The sequence below is a fragment of the Homo sapiens genome, chromosome 5 (assembly GCF_000001405.40).
Source record: "Homo sapiens chromosome 5, GRCh38.p14 Primary Assembly".
Lineage (NCBI taxonomy): Eukaryota > Metazoa > Chordata > Mammalia > Primates > Hominidae > Homo > Homo sapiens.
Genome location: NC_000005.10, coordinates 152297850 through 152311505, shown reverse-complemented (window position 1 = coordinate 152311505; position 13656 = coordinate 152297850). Strand labels below are relative to the sequence as shown.

Here is a 13656-nt window from a genome sequence, read left to right as displayed (position 1 = left end):
AAATCTCTGGGAACCTGAGTTCAGGATCATATTCTGGAGGAGGTGATATCTTCTAGGATGAATATAAATTAGAGAGATGGAGAGGGAAGGTCATTCCAAGAGCAGTGAACAGCATAAGCAGATCAAGGAGGGCACAGAGCAGTGACCTGAGTGACAGGAGCGATAAGCAGTGTGGAGTGTGGGAGTGAGAGGTAGGGAAAGTGGAACCAGATGAGGGTGGGCTCTGGACTCCAGGGCCCACACTAAGATTTGGCTGATATCCTGAGGGCAATGAGGGACCACTAAAAGGTTTTAAGGAGGGGAGCAACATGCTCTGCTCTGCATTTTAGAAAGATCCCTCTGGCAGTTGCACGCAGGGTGAATTTAAGAACAAGAATTCAGGAAGCAGGGAGAACAATTAGGAAGCTGTGGGAATAGTTCAGATGAGAGGTGATGGCAAACTGAACTAAGGCAATGGTAGCAGAGACAAAGAGGGAAAATACTATAATGAAAATATTTAAAGGTGATTCTAAAAGATGTGGAGACTGATTGGATTAGACGTTGAGGAAGAGGTTGCCTGGAGGTTTCTGACCAGGTGTCTAAATGTACCGTGGGGCCCTTCACTTTAAAAGGAAACATTAGAGGTGGAGAAGGTTTCAGGAGAGAACAAAGATTTCCCTTTGTCATATAAGAGGTTTCACATGTTGGGGGTGACTGACGCTGAGCTATGTCATTCAGATTCCCCATCAGGAATGACGTCCTCCACTATTCGTTCATTTAGAGCAGGGGTCCCCAACCCCCAGGCCACAGACCAGTACCAGTCCATGGCCTGTTAGGAACTGGTGCACAGGGGAGGTGAGTGACGGGCAAGCAAGTGTTACTGCCTGAGCTCATGCAAGGGATCTAGTGCTCCTTATGAGAATCTAACTAACGCCTTATGATCTGAGGTGGAACAGTTTTATCCTGAAACCATCTCCCCCCACTTCTCCCCTCCTCCCCGCAGAACAGTGGAAAAAACTGTCTTCCACAAAACCCATCCTGGGTGCCAAAAACGTTGGGGGCTGCTGGAGAGAATTGTCTCAGCTGAAGAAGTGTGTCTCACTGCCATCCAGTGACTCGGAGGATAAAGGATCCCTCATTCAGGCCAACTCAGAGCAGCTCTGAGGGGTCAGTTCAGCTGCACAGTTCCTGGGGCGTCTGCATCTCCCTTTGCCCCACCTACTTTTGTTTCTTTCCTTTCCCAGATGTGGATCCTGAGAGCTTTCATGCCTAAATAAGCCTGACTGCTAATCTCCCCCACAGAGTCTGCTGCCTGAGCAACACAACCTGTGACACAGCCAGCAGCTGTGGGAAGAGTGTAAGATAAGGAGAACTGTTTCTAACAGGTAGGAGACTGAGGATCAGTTGGGAAATTGGGCTCAAGGGCAGCTAGGTAAAGATGGCTTGGAATGAGCATCCTCATACACTCTATGTGGCAACCTCCTTCCTCTTTGCTGTACCTTTAAGCAGGAGTCTCAAGCATGGCTGCACTTGAAAACCAGCCAAGGAGATTTTAAGTACTGTAAACTAAAAATAAAATCCTAAGCCCCCTACCTGACTGAACAGACACCCTCTTGGCCGAGGGGACCCCAGAAAAGAAAACTTAAAATTGGAGTTTCTAGCCATGATGGGACAGGAGGTCAAATACATCTCATTATATCCCTTCCGTTTTGTAGATTAACATTAATGTTAAAATAGAGATCGTAAGACTGACTGAATGAACTCTTTATGGTAATAAAGTATGGAATTATAAACAAGGCCTAAAGCCATACCAGACAAGGATTTCATCATTCACCTCTACAGTTAAAAATAATTAACTATGTCAAATGGTATTTCTAGTTCTAGATCCCTGAGGAATCGCCACACTTACTTCCACAATGGTTGAACTAGTTTACAGTCCCACCAACAGTGTAAAAGTGTTCCTATTTCTCCACATCCTCTCCAGCACCTGTTGTTTCCTGACTTTTTAATGATTGCCATTCTAACTGGTGTGAGATGGTATCTCATTGTGGTTTTGATTTGCGTTTCTCTGATGGCCAGTGATGATGAGCATTTTTTCATGTGTCTTTTGGCTGCATAAATGTCTTCTTTTGAGAAGTGTCTGTTCATGTCCTTTGCCCACTTTTTGATGCGGTTGTTTGTTTTTTTCTTGTAAATTTGTTTGAGTTCATTGTAGATTCTGGATATTAGCCCTTTGTCAGATGAGTAGTTTGCAAAAATTTTCTCCCATTTTGTAGGTTGCCTGTTCACTCTGATGGTAGTTTCTTTTGCTGTGCAGAAGCTCTTTAGTCTAATTAGATCCCATTAGTCAATTTTGGCTTTTGTTGCCATTGCTTTTTGTGTTTTAGACATGAAGTCCTTGCCCATGCCTATGTGCTGAATGGTAATGCCTAGGTTTTCTTCTAGGGTTTTTATGGTTTTAGATCTAACGTTTAAGTCTTTAATCCATCTTGAATTAATTTTTGTATAAGGTGTAAGGAAGGGATCCAGTTTCAGCTTTCTACATATGGCTAGCCAGTTTTCCCAGCACCATTTATTAAACAGGGAATCCTTTCCCCATTGCTTGTTTTTGTCAGGTTTGTCAAAGATCAGATAGTTGTAGATATGTGGTTTTATTTCTGAGGGCTCTGTTCTGTTCCATTGATCTATATCTCTGTTTTGGTACCAGTACCATGCTGTTTTGGTTACTGTAGCCTTGTAGTATAGTTTGAAGTCAGGTAGCGTGATGCCTCCAGCTTTGTTCTTTTGGCTTAGGATTGACTTGGTGATGTGGGCTCTTTTTTGGTTCCATATGAACTTTAAAGTAGTTTTTTCCAATTTGACCCAGCCATCCCATTACTGGGTATATACCCAAAGGACTATAAATCATGCTGCTATAAAGACACATGCACACGTATGTTTATTGTGGCACTATTCACAATAGCAAAGACTTGGAACCAACCCAAATGTCCAACAATGATAGATTGGATTAAGAAAATGTGGCACATATACACCATGGAATACTATGCAGCCATAAAAAATGATGAGTTCATGTCCTTTGTAGGGACATGGATGAAATTGGAAATCATCATTCTCAGTAAACTATCGCAAGGACAAAAAACCAAAAACCACATGTTCTCACTCATAGATGGGAATTGAACAATGAGAACACATGGACACAGGAAGGGGAACATCACACTCTGGGGACTGTTGTGGGGTGGGGGGAGGGGGGAGGGATAGCATTAGGAGATATATCTAATGCTAAATGACGAGTTAATGGGTGCAGCACACCAGTATGGCACATGTATACATATATAACTAACCTGCACATTGTGCACATGTACCCTAAAACTTAAAGTAAAATAATAATTAAAAAAAAGAATAAACTATGTTCTAACTGCCACAAGGCTTTTTTTCTTACTCTAGCAACCAAACAAGCAATGGCCTCCCAATAAGCAATATTAAAACAATTGTCGCTCACTGCCAGATGCTGACTACCTGCCCCTCCTGTTCCACAAGCCATAGCCATATCTTTGATTGTAAATGAGACTGATTTCAGTAACTTCCTCCTGATAAGAAGGCCACTCACTGACATGGACTGGTTCTGGCCATTTTATAGAGGCTGTGTCCCTAAGTGCCCTCAGGTCCCTCCTTCACCTTTTGACATATAGGGCCTCATTGTAATACATTTAAATGTTATGTCTCTACTGCAAGGTGACAACATGGGTCATATGTAACATGTATATTTGGTTATTACACATGCATGGCCCTGCTCATGAATATTCATAGCTCTTCCTATAACCTGTTGAATATGTATACATGGTCAACTCACTCAGCATGAATCCCTGTTGTTCTACCCACCCCTCCCTCAAAGTGCCTGCCTTTTGGGCTTCTGCAGGAGGCTATACTTCCCAACCTGTCAGAATGGCCACCTTGCAAGCTGTAACCCTATATAAGAAAGTCTACTCTCCTTTCTAAATTTATAAATTTTGTGATTTTTGAGTTAACAATACTAATATCTGAAACCCAGCACCAGAGATTCTGATTCAGTGGCTCTGGGATGGGGCCCTGGTAATGTATTAGAATCCCCTTGGTTGCAAGGGACAATTCAAATCAATCTTAGTAACTAGAAAAGTGTGTTGGGAGAATAATTTATAAGGACAAGGACAATAGGGTGGCTCATTGGGGGTAAGAATAAAATGCAGTTAAGGCTAAGAAATGTTGGAACCAAATACTTAAGTGCCATCAGAAGTCACATTCTCTTCCTTTTTTCTTCTGTTCCCTGTGTGCCTGCTCTAGTTCTCTCTTGCTCCTTCCTTAAAGCATCATAGCATTTATGGTTAAAGACGAAAATGACCACTGCTATAATTTGAATGTGTCTCCCAAAAAGCAGGTGTTGGAGACTTAATCCCCAGAGCAACAGTGTTGGAAGGTAGGGCCTAATGAGAGGTGATTAGATCACAAGGGTGCTTCCCTCATGAATAGATTAATGCCATTAATGTGGGAGTCGTTTTGTTATTACAGCAATGGGTTCCTTATAAAAGAAGGAGTTCACCTGCTCTCACTCTCTCTCCCCTCCTCTCTTTGCCCTTCTGCCACAGGATGGCACGGCGAGAAGGCTCTCTCACCAGATGCCAGCCCCTCAGCCTTGGACTTCCTAACCACCAGAACTGTGAGTCAATAAACTTTTAAATTACCCATTCTCAGATATTCTGTTATAGCAGCACACAATGAATGAAGACAACCACCAACAGCTTTAAAGCTTTATGTATCTTATCAATATAGACACCCCAAGATAATCTAGCTTCTATTTTCTAAGACTACAATGACAATCCCCAGGAGATACCCTGATTAGCTCTGCTTTGGTCAGGTGCCTGTCTGCCCCTGAATCAATCAATCGTCTTAGGGATGAGGTCACAGTAGAATATAGTTAACTAATCCTTCTGCAGTGGTTTTGACTGGAGCAAGGAGTAATGCCTTGCAAAGGGATGCTGAGCAGAAAATTACAAAGCTGTCCACTGCATCACCTCACACCATCCCTTCATGCCTACTTCCATATTGCTAATTCTTATGGAATTAATTTGACATTGTCCTTACTGGTGGCTTCACATTTGTTTTTGACGTTGAAAAGGCTAACGATGAGATAAAGCCAACTGGGATCAAGAATGTAAAATCAGAGAAGTCTATGATATTACAGAGAGAGAGGAAAAGGCTCCTAGATAGCCCCTCACTCAACCTCTGTCATTCTTCCTTTCATTTTGAAAAGCCTTTTGAGGAGCAAAGAGGCTCAGGATTTTTCAAGGGTCACATAATGAGTTTGTATCTGAGTTCAAACTAGTACCCATTTTTTCAGACTCTCAGTGTAGTTATTTTCTTTATAAAGAAATAAAAAGCTTGAAGCAATTACCAAGTATAAATAATTCAAAAATTAAGGTAAAAACACCTCTGAGATAAAGTAAATCAATGGAAAAATGGAATTCAATTTGTACAAGTTTGATTTTTATGCCATTTTTCTCGATGTGTACTTATTCCATAAATCAAGGCCAACCCACAACACTCACACCATGTCTAATGCTCATATAAATCCAAGGTGTCTACCATGACAAGTCATCATAAGACAAATATATTGTTTTTATCCTTAAATGAAAGCAATAGGAGGTTTAGTATTTGTCAAACAGATCCCTAATTAACAGGCCAATTGCTTGGGGCTTTAAGAAGGATTATCAGAGGAGGATTATGGAGGCAGCATAGGCAGGGAGAAAGCTCATTGACTAGTGCTATGGTTTGAATGTGTTCTCCAATTGTGTTTATGCTTAATCCCCAACTCCACAGTGCTGGGAGGTGGGGCCCAGTGGGAGGCTCCACCTTTATAAATGATGTAATGTGATTATAAAAGGGCTTGAGGCTGCGAGTTTAGTCTCTCTCGAACATGCACGCTCTCTTGCCCTTACACCTTTTTCCATGAGATGACACAGAAAGAAGACCCTCATCCAATATAACTCCTTGATCTTAAACTTCCAAGCTCTGGAACTGCCAGCCAAATAAATTTCTGTCTATTATAAATTACCCAGTTCAGGTATTCTTTCATTGCAGCACAAAATAAACTAAGATAACTAGAAAGTGGGAGACGTGAATTCTAGTCCAACTGTATCCCTGATTCTGATCCACTAAGCAAGTCATTTTCTTCCTCTGGACCCCAATTACCTTATCTATAAAATGGGGAGTTTGAACTAGAAATGCACTTCTCTAACTTTAGCTATGCAATCTCATCACTGCTCCAATAACTGCATGCCAGCTGTGTCATCATTTTTTAATACTCTTTCCTTACATCAACTCACTTTTTAAACTTAAATTTTACCAAGAAACATTTATATCACTATTATAATGGAAAAGCAGCATCACTTAGATTAATTGAAGATCACTATATAAGCACATATGCAATTATGTGAGATTATGAATATGTTAATTTACTTGACTATAGTAATCACCTCGTTATGTATATCAAGATGTGTTGTAGACCTTATATACAATAAAAATAAATAAATGGTCACCTGGGTTCAACAACAACAAAATCTTCATTACCACCAGTAGTGTGTATGTTCCATGTTGGGGAACCCTGAGCTAAACAATGTCTAGCGGTTTCCAGCCCCAACTGATGATGGCTCTTAGGAACAGGCAGAGGTCCAGTGAGGCAGAAGTCAAGGGATGTCACACTGTAAGAGAATCATCTGAAGCCTTCAATTCCACGTTGCTGGGCCTAGTTCTCTGCTGTGTTCACTCTTCCACTACTGCAACCCACAGTCCTGGCCTAGGTTTGCCTCCTTGTCTTTTCATGGGCACCTCAATTCAAACCCAGCTGTCAGATCGACTCTGAGAAGAACTAACCTGATAGCAGCTTCTTGTTTTGTCCAGTTCAGGAAATTCTGGGTTTTAATAGAGGACAGTGCCTTCACATATCCACATATACACTAAGTTTTTAATGTCAGCATTGAAACTTCAGACAGCTCTAACAAAGGGCATGGAAAAAACCCTTTGCAAGGGACTTCTCAAGTTTTAGCTATGTCTCTCTCATTTTATCATCTACCACATCCATCTGTTACTATTCTTTCACTCTGTCCTTCTTCCCTATTAACTTATTATTTATTTCTCTGTTCCTTTTTCTTTCTCTCTTCTATTTCATTTTCTCTCTCCCAACAACATTCGACATTGACATGGCAAGTATTTACTCGGTGCCTTCTCCATGCAGGCACTGTGCTGGTCTACCACACTGCCAGTCCCTCACCTTTCTTCATCACCCATTCATCTATCTATGAAGTCTCACCCAGCCTACCTAACATTCATCCACCCAGTATTGACTCAGCACTCACTTTTCCACCTCTGCTTACTTCTTTTCCATCCTTTTCTTCTGGCTCTTGTCAATTGCTGATGGATCAGGCACAAAATCCCTCAGAGCAGCTGAGGCAGGGAAGAAGAATGGGGGGCCAGCAATACTCATGGCAAATGTTCCAGATTGGGCTGGAGTTTGGATGAGTATCTGGACTACAAAGAGATCATCATCAGTACAGTTCCAGTGGAGGAGTTGCCAGCCTGGGAATGGGGGTGGGAGGTGGTACCTCTCAGATGGGCAATAGAACCATCAGCTCCTTGCCCCAGGCAGTGGCAGGTAGACATGCAGATTCCAGCCCAATTTCTGGTGCAGACCACAGGCCTGATCACACATCTCAGCTCTAGATGTCTCCAGACTTTGCAGAAGCTAAAGAATGTGTTCCATGTAGACTCTAGTGGTGGAATCATGGGCGAGGAAAGTTGAAAGAGCTTGGAGAACTGAGCCACTCTGCACCATCCCTTTATAGATGAAATAAACTAGGGTAGGATGAAGAAAGTGTATTGTTTACCCCAGTCACAGAGAAGTTAGTGGCTGAAAGGGATCAGAACCCAGGTTACTGAACAACTAGCCTCTATGCTTCTATTCCTCAAGCTTTTCTACCTATCCTTCCTCTTCCCTAAAAGCTCCTTTGAATGAATTAAATGGTAGATGTTTGTACTTTCTGCAAAGACAGAGTCTGATTAAATATATAAGGTGGTAGATATCACAAGTACACTTATTTGATCTCTACAAATTATATGAATGTATCAAATGGTCACATGTACCCAGAAACTATGCTCATCTATTATACATCAATTAAAAAACCTGTTTTAAAAAACAAAAATGAATATGATCATGCTGCTCCATTTTCCCCATTGTCTGAACTAGATGCCCGGTCAAGTCAGTGCAATAGTAACGAAAACAAACAAACAAACAATGATTTATTGTTTACCATAAGTACTCTGGTAGGTACTTTACATGTATTATCTCATTTAAACCTCACAGCAATCCTCTGGTGTGGGTATTATTATCCTCAATTTACAGATGAAAAAATGAGGCTTGCAGAGATTACATAAGGCCATACATTTAGCAATTGCTAGGACCAAACTGAGCAGCAGCTCATATTCTTTACAACATGTCATGGGGAATGGTGGTGGGGAGCTGCTAACTCAAATGCAGACAGTTAGGCTGATGTGTTATGATTGTACATCTCTAAGCAGCTTCTAGATAGATGCCTGGCAGACCACAGTTTCTTAGTGCAAATGCTTTTCTAATGGGCCTGCAATAGGGGTCCTGCAGTATATGGCAGCAACCCCTTTGTTTGTAGGTACTAAAGATGAGAAAGAAGAATGAAAGAGTTGCTACTTCTGGAAGCTTCCAGCTTCATGATAGCTGGGATCCACTTCATCCTGTATATTTCTCCCCACTCCTTAACACATTACATGACACATAGTAGGTACTTAGTAAGTATGCATTGAATGAACAAATGATCCCTTAGAAAAGAATCAGTTCCTAAAGGTACCCTTCTATCAGGCTAATCAACCCAGAAATTCTAGTTACCAGAAGCTTCAGCATATTATTACTACATTCACAAAAGGTGCCCAATAATCATTTATATTTGCACAGCATTTAACAAGATGCTTCACATTCATTATCCTTCTTCTCCTCACTGTATTGATGGGTTCTTAAGATCAGGTGCCACGTCCATTTTTTCTCTGTGTCCCTGCTTCCCCCATGGCACTAGACTGGTGACTGACATTCATTCAGAACCCCTACATGCCAGGTACTGTGCCCGGTGCTGGGGTTATAGTGGTGAGCTAATGTGCACAATAGACACACATAAAATAACCAACCAAATAAATTGTGCCTAGCACTAGGAAGGAAAAGAATAATTCTGAGACAGACACACACAATGAGAGAAAGAAAATAACTACAGATCGAATTTAGATTGAGATGGGGTCAGAAAAGGTCTTTTGAGTCTCTGAAATCTTATTTATCTAGGTTTTATATTTGGTACCATCTTCTTACTTTCCTGTATTGTCTACAGCCCTGGGAACTGAGAAGGTATACCTGAAAGGTGTTGAGAGATTGAATGGACCTTCCTGATTGGCTACCTGGCTGGCTGGCTTAGTCCCTCTTCTTCTCTTCCTTCCTTTCTTCATTTCTTTTATTCACTTTTTATTCAATCACCAAACATCTATTCAGCATCTACTTTTCACACAGTACAGTGGCACTAGGAATATGCCAATGAGCAAAATTGACATAGTCTCTGCCTTTGTGAAGCTTATGGTCTTGTAGAAAGAGGCACAATGAAATAACTTTAAAGTGTCTTGTGATGACAGAGAAATGTGCTACGGAGGCTTATTTCATAGTTCTATGGGTGTTTAACATGGAGGCTTGATCTGGTGTAGGGCTGGAAAGGCCTCCCCAGGAGGTGACAGGCACAGCTCTGGGGGGATACTGAACATACACTAGACCAAGGTCAGGTGGTGGAGATCACTGCAGTCACTTGTAATCAAGTCCTGAAATCATGGCTGGGAAATCAGTGACCTTCACGTACGAGGGCAGTGCTGATTTTGTTATAGTAATATATTTTTTATAGATGAGAAAAAAGAACTGTGGCTTCAGGAAGTTTAGTGAGTCACTCAAGCCCCTGGAGACTGGACAGAACTGACATTTGAGCCTAGGTGTGCAGACTGAAAGTGTCTCCAGCATTTTCCACACCCTCTCAGGCCATGGTCATCTGACTATAGTTAAAGCACCTGATGCCTGGCTGGTTAACACCACCAAACAAACTTCAAGCACATAAAACACATACTAAAATCATCATTTCTCATGGTTAGAAATGAAACAGCATGGCCGGGTGCGGTGGCTCACACCTGTAATCCCAGCACTTTGGGAGGCCAAGGCAGGTGGATCACTTGAGGTCAGGAGCTTGAGACCAGTCTGGCCAACATGGTGAAACCCCGCCTCCACTAAAAATACAAAAATTAGCCGGGTGTGGTGACAGACACCTGTAATCCCAGCTACTCGGGAGGCTAAGGCAGGAGAATCGCTTGAACCTGGGGCGGAGGTTGCAGTAAGCCGAGATCCTGCCACTGTGCTCCAGCCTGGGTGACAGAGCAAGACTCTGTCTCAAAGAACAAAAAAAAAAAAAAAAGAAAAAAGAAATGAAACAGCACCATCATGCCCTGGTACCTTTTCTCCTTATGAAGACAACTAAATAGTAGTAGCCTTCTAAACCCCTACTGGTCTAGTTCCTGCCTATTTGGTTTCCAAGTCTGTGCATCTAATCACTATACTAAGTGTCATGTCCAAGGTCAAACGCTGTGGCACCTTTGAGAGTCTCAGATCCTTAAAAGAATACTTCTTTTACTCATTTTTTGTGCCTATCATGTATTTGGGCAAAAATAGGGCCTCATGTTTAGTGTTCCTGGCTCTGTTTCCATAGAGTGAAAATAACTATTCTGAGCAAGAGGAAACCCAGATTAAACAAAAGTATCTTATCAAGTTCCTTCTCTCCCTTGCAGATTTTTTAAAAGCATCATTATCTTCCCCTGAATGTAAAAATATGTCATTTGGGATAAATTATATTTTCATAATAATGCCTCCAAAATTCCCCCAAACATCCGTTTAATTCCCATGAGGACATGTGCTCAGACCAGGGACTGTAGTGAGAGTGAAGGCTTTGGAGTCAGGCACACCCCTCTCCGGCTCTGTGACCCCAGCCAGGCCCTCAGGCATTCTGAGCTTCAGGCTTCTCTGTGAAGCTTAAATGATGAGAGAGAATGGGATGGAATTAAAGGAGAGAATCTGTACAAAGCACATAGCTGAGGCCAGTTGGGAGCACAGTCCTCACTAAACTTTGGTTATAATAATTATCTTCTTTCACAAATGAAGATGTGTGTGACTCAGGGAGCAAAGAGGACTTGCCTGGCATTGCACAGCTAAAGTGTCATCTGGACAAGCCCACTTCCCCCTATATGAAGTGCAGGGTACTTCCAATCAACCATGTATTCTTTAGGTAAGAACACAAATCTAACATGTCAATGGGAAATAGCATTCATCCCACTGCCTATCTTTGACCTGAATTTCTGGGATCTCAAATCATTACTCCTTCTTCTCCACCCCCCACCCTGCCCCTTCCTGCTACACCAGGGGTTTTATGGCCCACTGCAGCATGCAGAGGTATTAGTAGGGAGAATATGCTTGTCACGTTTTGACTCTCTCTTCCCTTCTAGGGCAACCCGTTTCCATGAAAACAGGACAGTGAGTAGTAGGAAGAAGAGTATCAGTGGTGATCTTTACCATCATTTATCGGGAGCAAACTTGAATTAGTTTCTTTGGGAGGAAAACTTCCTCTGAAGACTACAAGGAAGCGGAAGATAGTACAGTCACTCAGGCAGTCCAAGGCAGGCATGAGATGGTAAGAATCCTTTACATTTAACTTCTCAGAAGTTTATACTTATATTACCTAATTTGATCCTCTCAGCAGTCCTGTAAGGCAGCAGGATGGGGAGTCTTATTCTTAGCTATGTAAACTGAGTCAGAGGGGAGCTATGTAGGTTATATTGCATCAAAGCCATTTATGCATTTATCCATTCATTCATACAGCAGATATTTATTGAGTAACTAGTATGTGCTGAGCCTGCTTTAGGCATGGGAAATATACTAAACACTGCCCCTGGCCTCAAAGAACATATATTAGTGGGGAAGACTAGTAGAGGCACATAAATAGGCAATTATAATTAGTATGGTTAGTACAATAAAATAAATATGCCAGGAAATTAAAGGAAGGGGAAGAGGAACAGAAAAAAAAATGCTTAGCCTGAGGGGAACTCATAATGAGAAAAGGCCTTCTGGAGGAGGTGACACCTGAGATTTGAAGGCTAACGAGGAGTAATTGAGATGGAAGAATTGGAAAGACAGGATAAGAAAAGGCATGGCCTAGAGAAATAGGTTAAGAATAAAAAAAAAAACAACAAGAATGAAAAGTCAAGAAGATTATAGAATTTGTTCTTGAAGTATCCTGAATGCCTTGAGAAGGACCTTGATTTGAACCCATGGTTAGTGATAGGGTTGTGGGGGTACTGAAGGGTTTTAGGTAAGGAGATAATAGCCTAGTTTCACTAGATTCAAACTTAGGGCTTTGATGTTCTGGTACAACACCGATAGCCCAGCCTCATCTCTTCACAGCTGGGGCCATTCAATCAGCCCTCACCACTAGGCCAAGCCTTACTCAGGTTCCTGAAACCTGCCTGCCCCTAGGCAGGGCCACCTGAGAACCCAGGATTAGCCAATGCAGGTAATAAAGGCTCTAAGGCTACTTATTCTTCCTTTGATCTCATGTCTTTGTTCTGCTTCTTGGGTTGTTGCTGTCTCAAGACCCAAACCTCAGGCCCAGCTCTCACCCTTTAGCAGAGCCCTCCTACATGTCCAGTCTTCTCCATCCACGGGAGTAGAAGTGCCCACTCCTACCACCCGCCAGGGAATGTCCCCTAGTGCTGTGAATTTCTGCTTTGACACCACCCTTTCCTTTAGCTCAGGTGCCTAGGGCCCGGATCAAGAATGCTTGCATCTCACCAGCCTGGACTCTGTACTTTTCATACATTCCCACATACTTGACTTTCTAGTTTATACGCAAGTCCCCTGCCCCTGAAACATATCTCAAATGTCCTCACCTCATACCCCTTTCATTTATCCTACACTGCCCGACACCCCAGGTTCCCTGAGATTTGAAAGCACTTTCCTTTTCTATTTCTACCACAACTGTAAAACTAGAAGGCTTCAAGGAGACCAAGAGAGAGAACAAAAGAGCCAGAGTTACTGTCTGCCCCCAAATCATTTGAGGAGAAATTCAGACAGTAGCTTGGAAAGATGAAAAGGATCCACTGGCTTTTGGTGAGACAGAACAAAAGAAATCAATTTCCAAGGATAGTTACAGTCTCTTCTGAGAGCCCCCACATTCTTGATATCTGCTCACCCTTGATATCTGACTGAGTTCCTCATCCTCTTCCATCCCCCAGAGAATGCCTCATCACCCTGGCCTGCCTTCATCAAGAATCTTGTTAGGTTGGTTTAGCCAGAATCCCATTTACCTCTGATGTGTCATCTTAGTAATTTTCCATCCACCAACCTCTACATTACTCTTTGTCTATACAATCCCACTTGCCCATGTTGTATTCAGAGTTGAGCCCAATCCCACTCCCCAGCTGCAGTACCCCTATCATGGTGGTCCTAAATAAAGTATTCCTTACCATACTTGCTTAATAAGCATAACTGCATAATTTTTT

The 13656-nt window shown here is 42.2% G+C and overlaps 1 long non-coding RNA gene across 1 annotated transcript in view; it reads left to right on the top strand.

Moving 5' to 3' along the window:
- The window catches only part of LOC105378236 (uncharacterized), a 34936-nt gene that overhangs the window by 18152 nt on the left and 3128 nt on the right, over positions 1 to 13656 (top strand). The window contains exons 2-3 of the long non-coding RNA XR_944432.3: positions 4599 to 4669; positions 11605 to 11789. This is a non-coding gene — a long non-coding RNA (uncharacterized LOC105378236). The remainder of the gene's footprint in view (positions 1 to 4598; positions 4670 to 11604; positions 11790 to 13656) is intronic.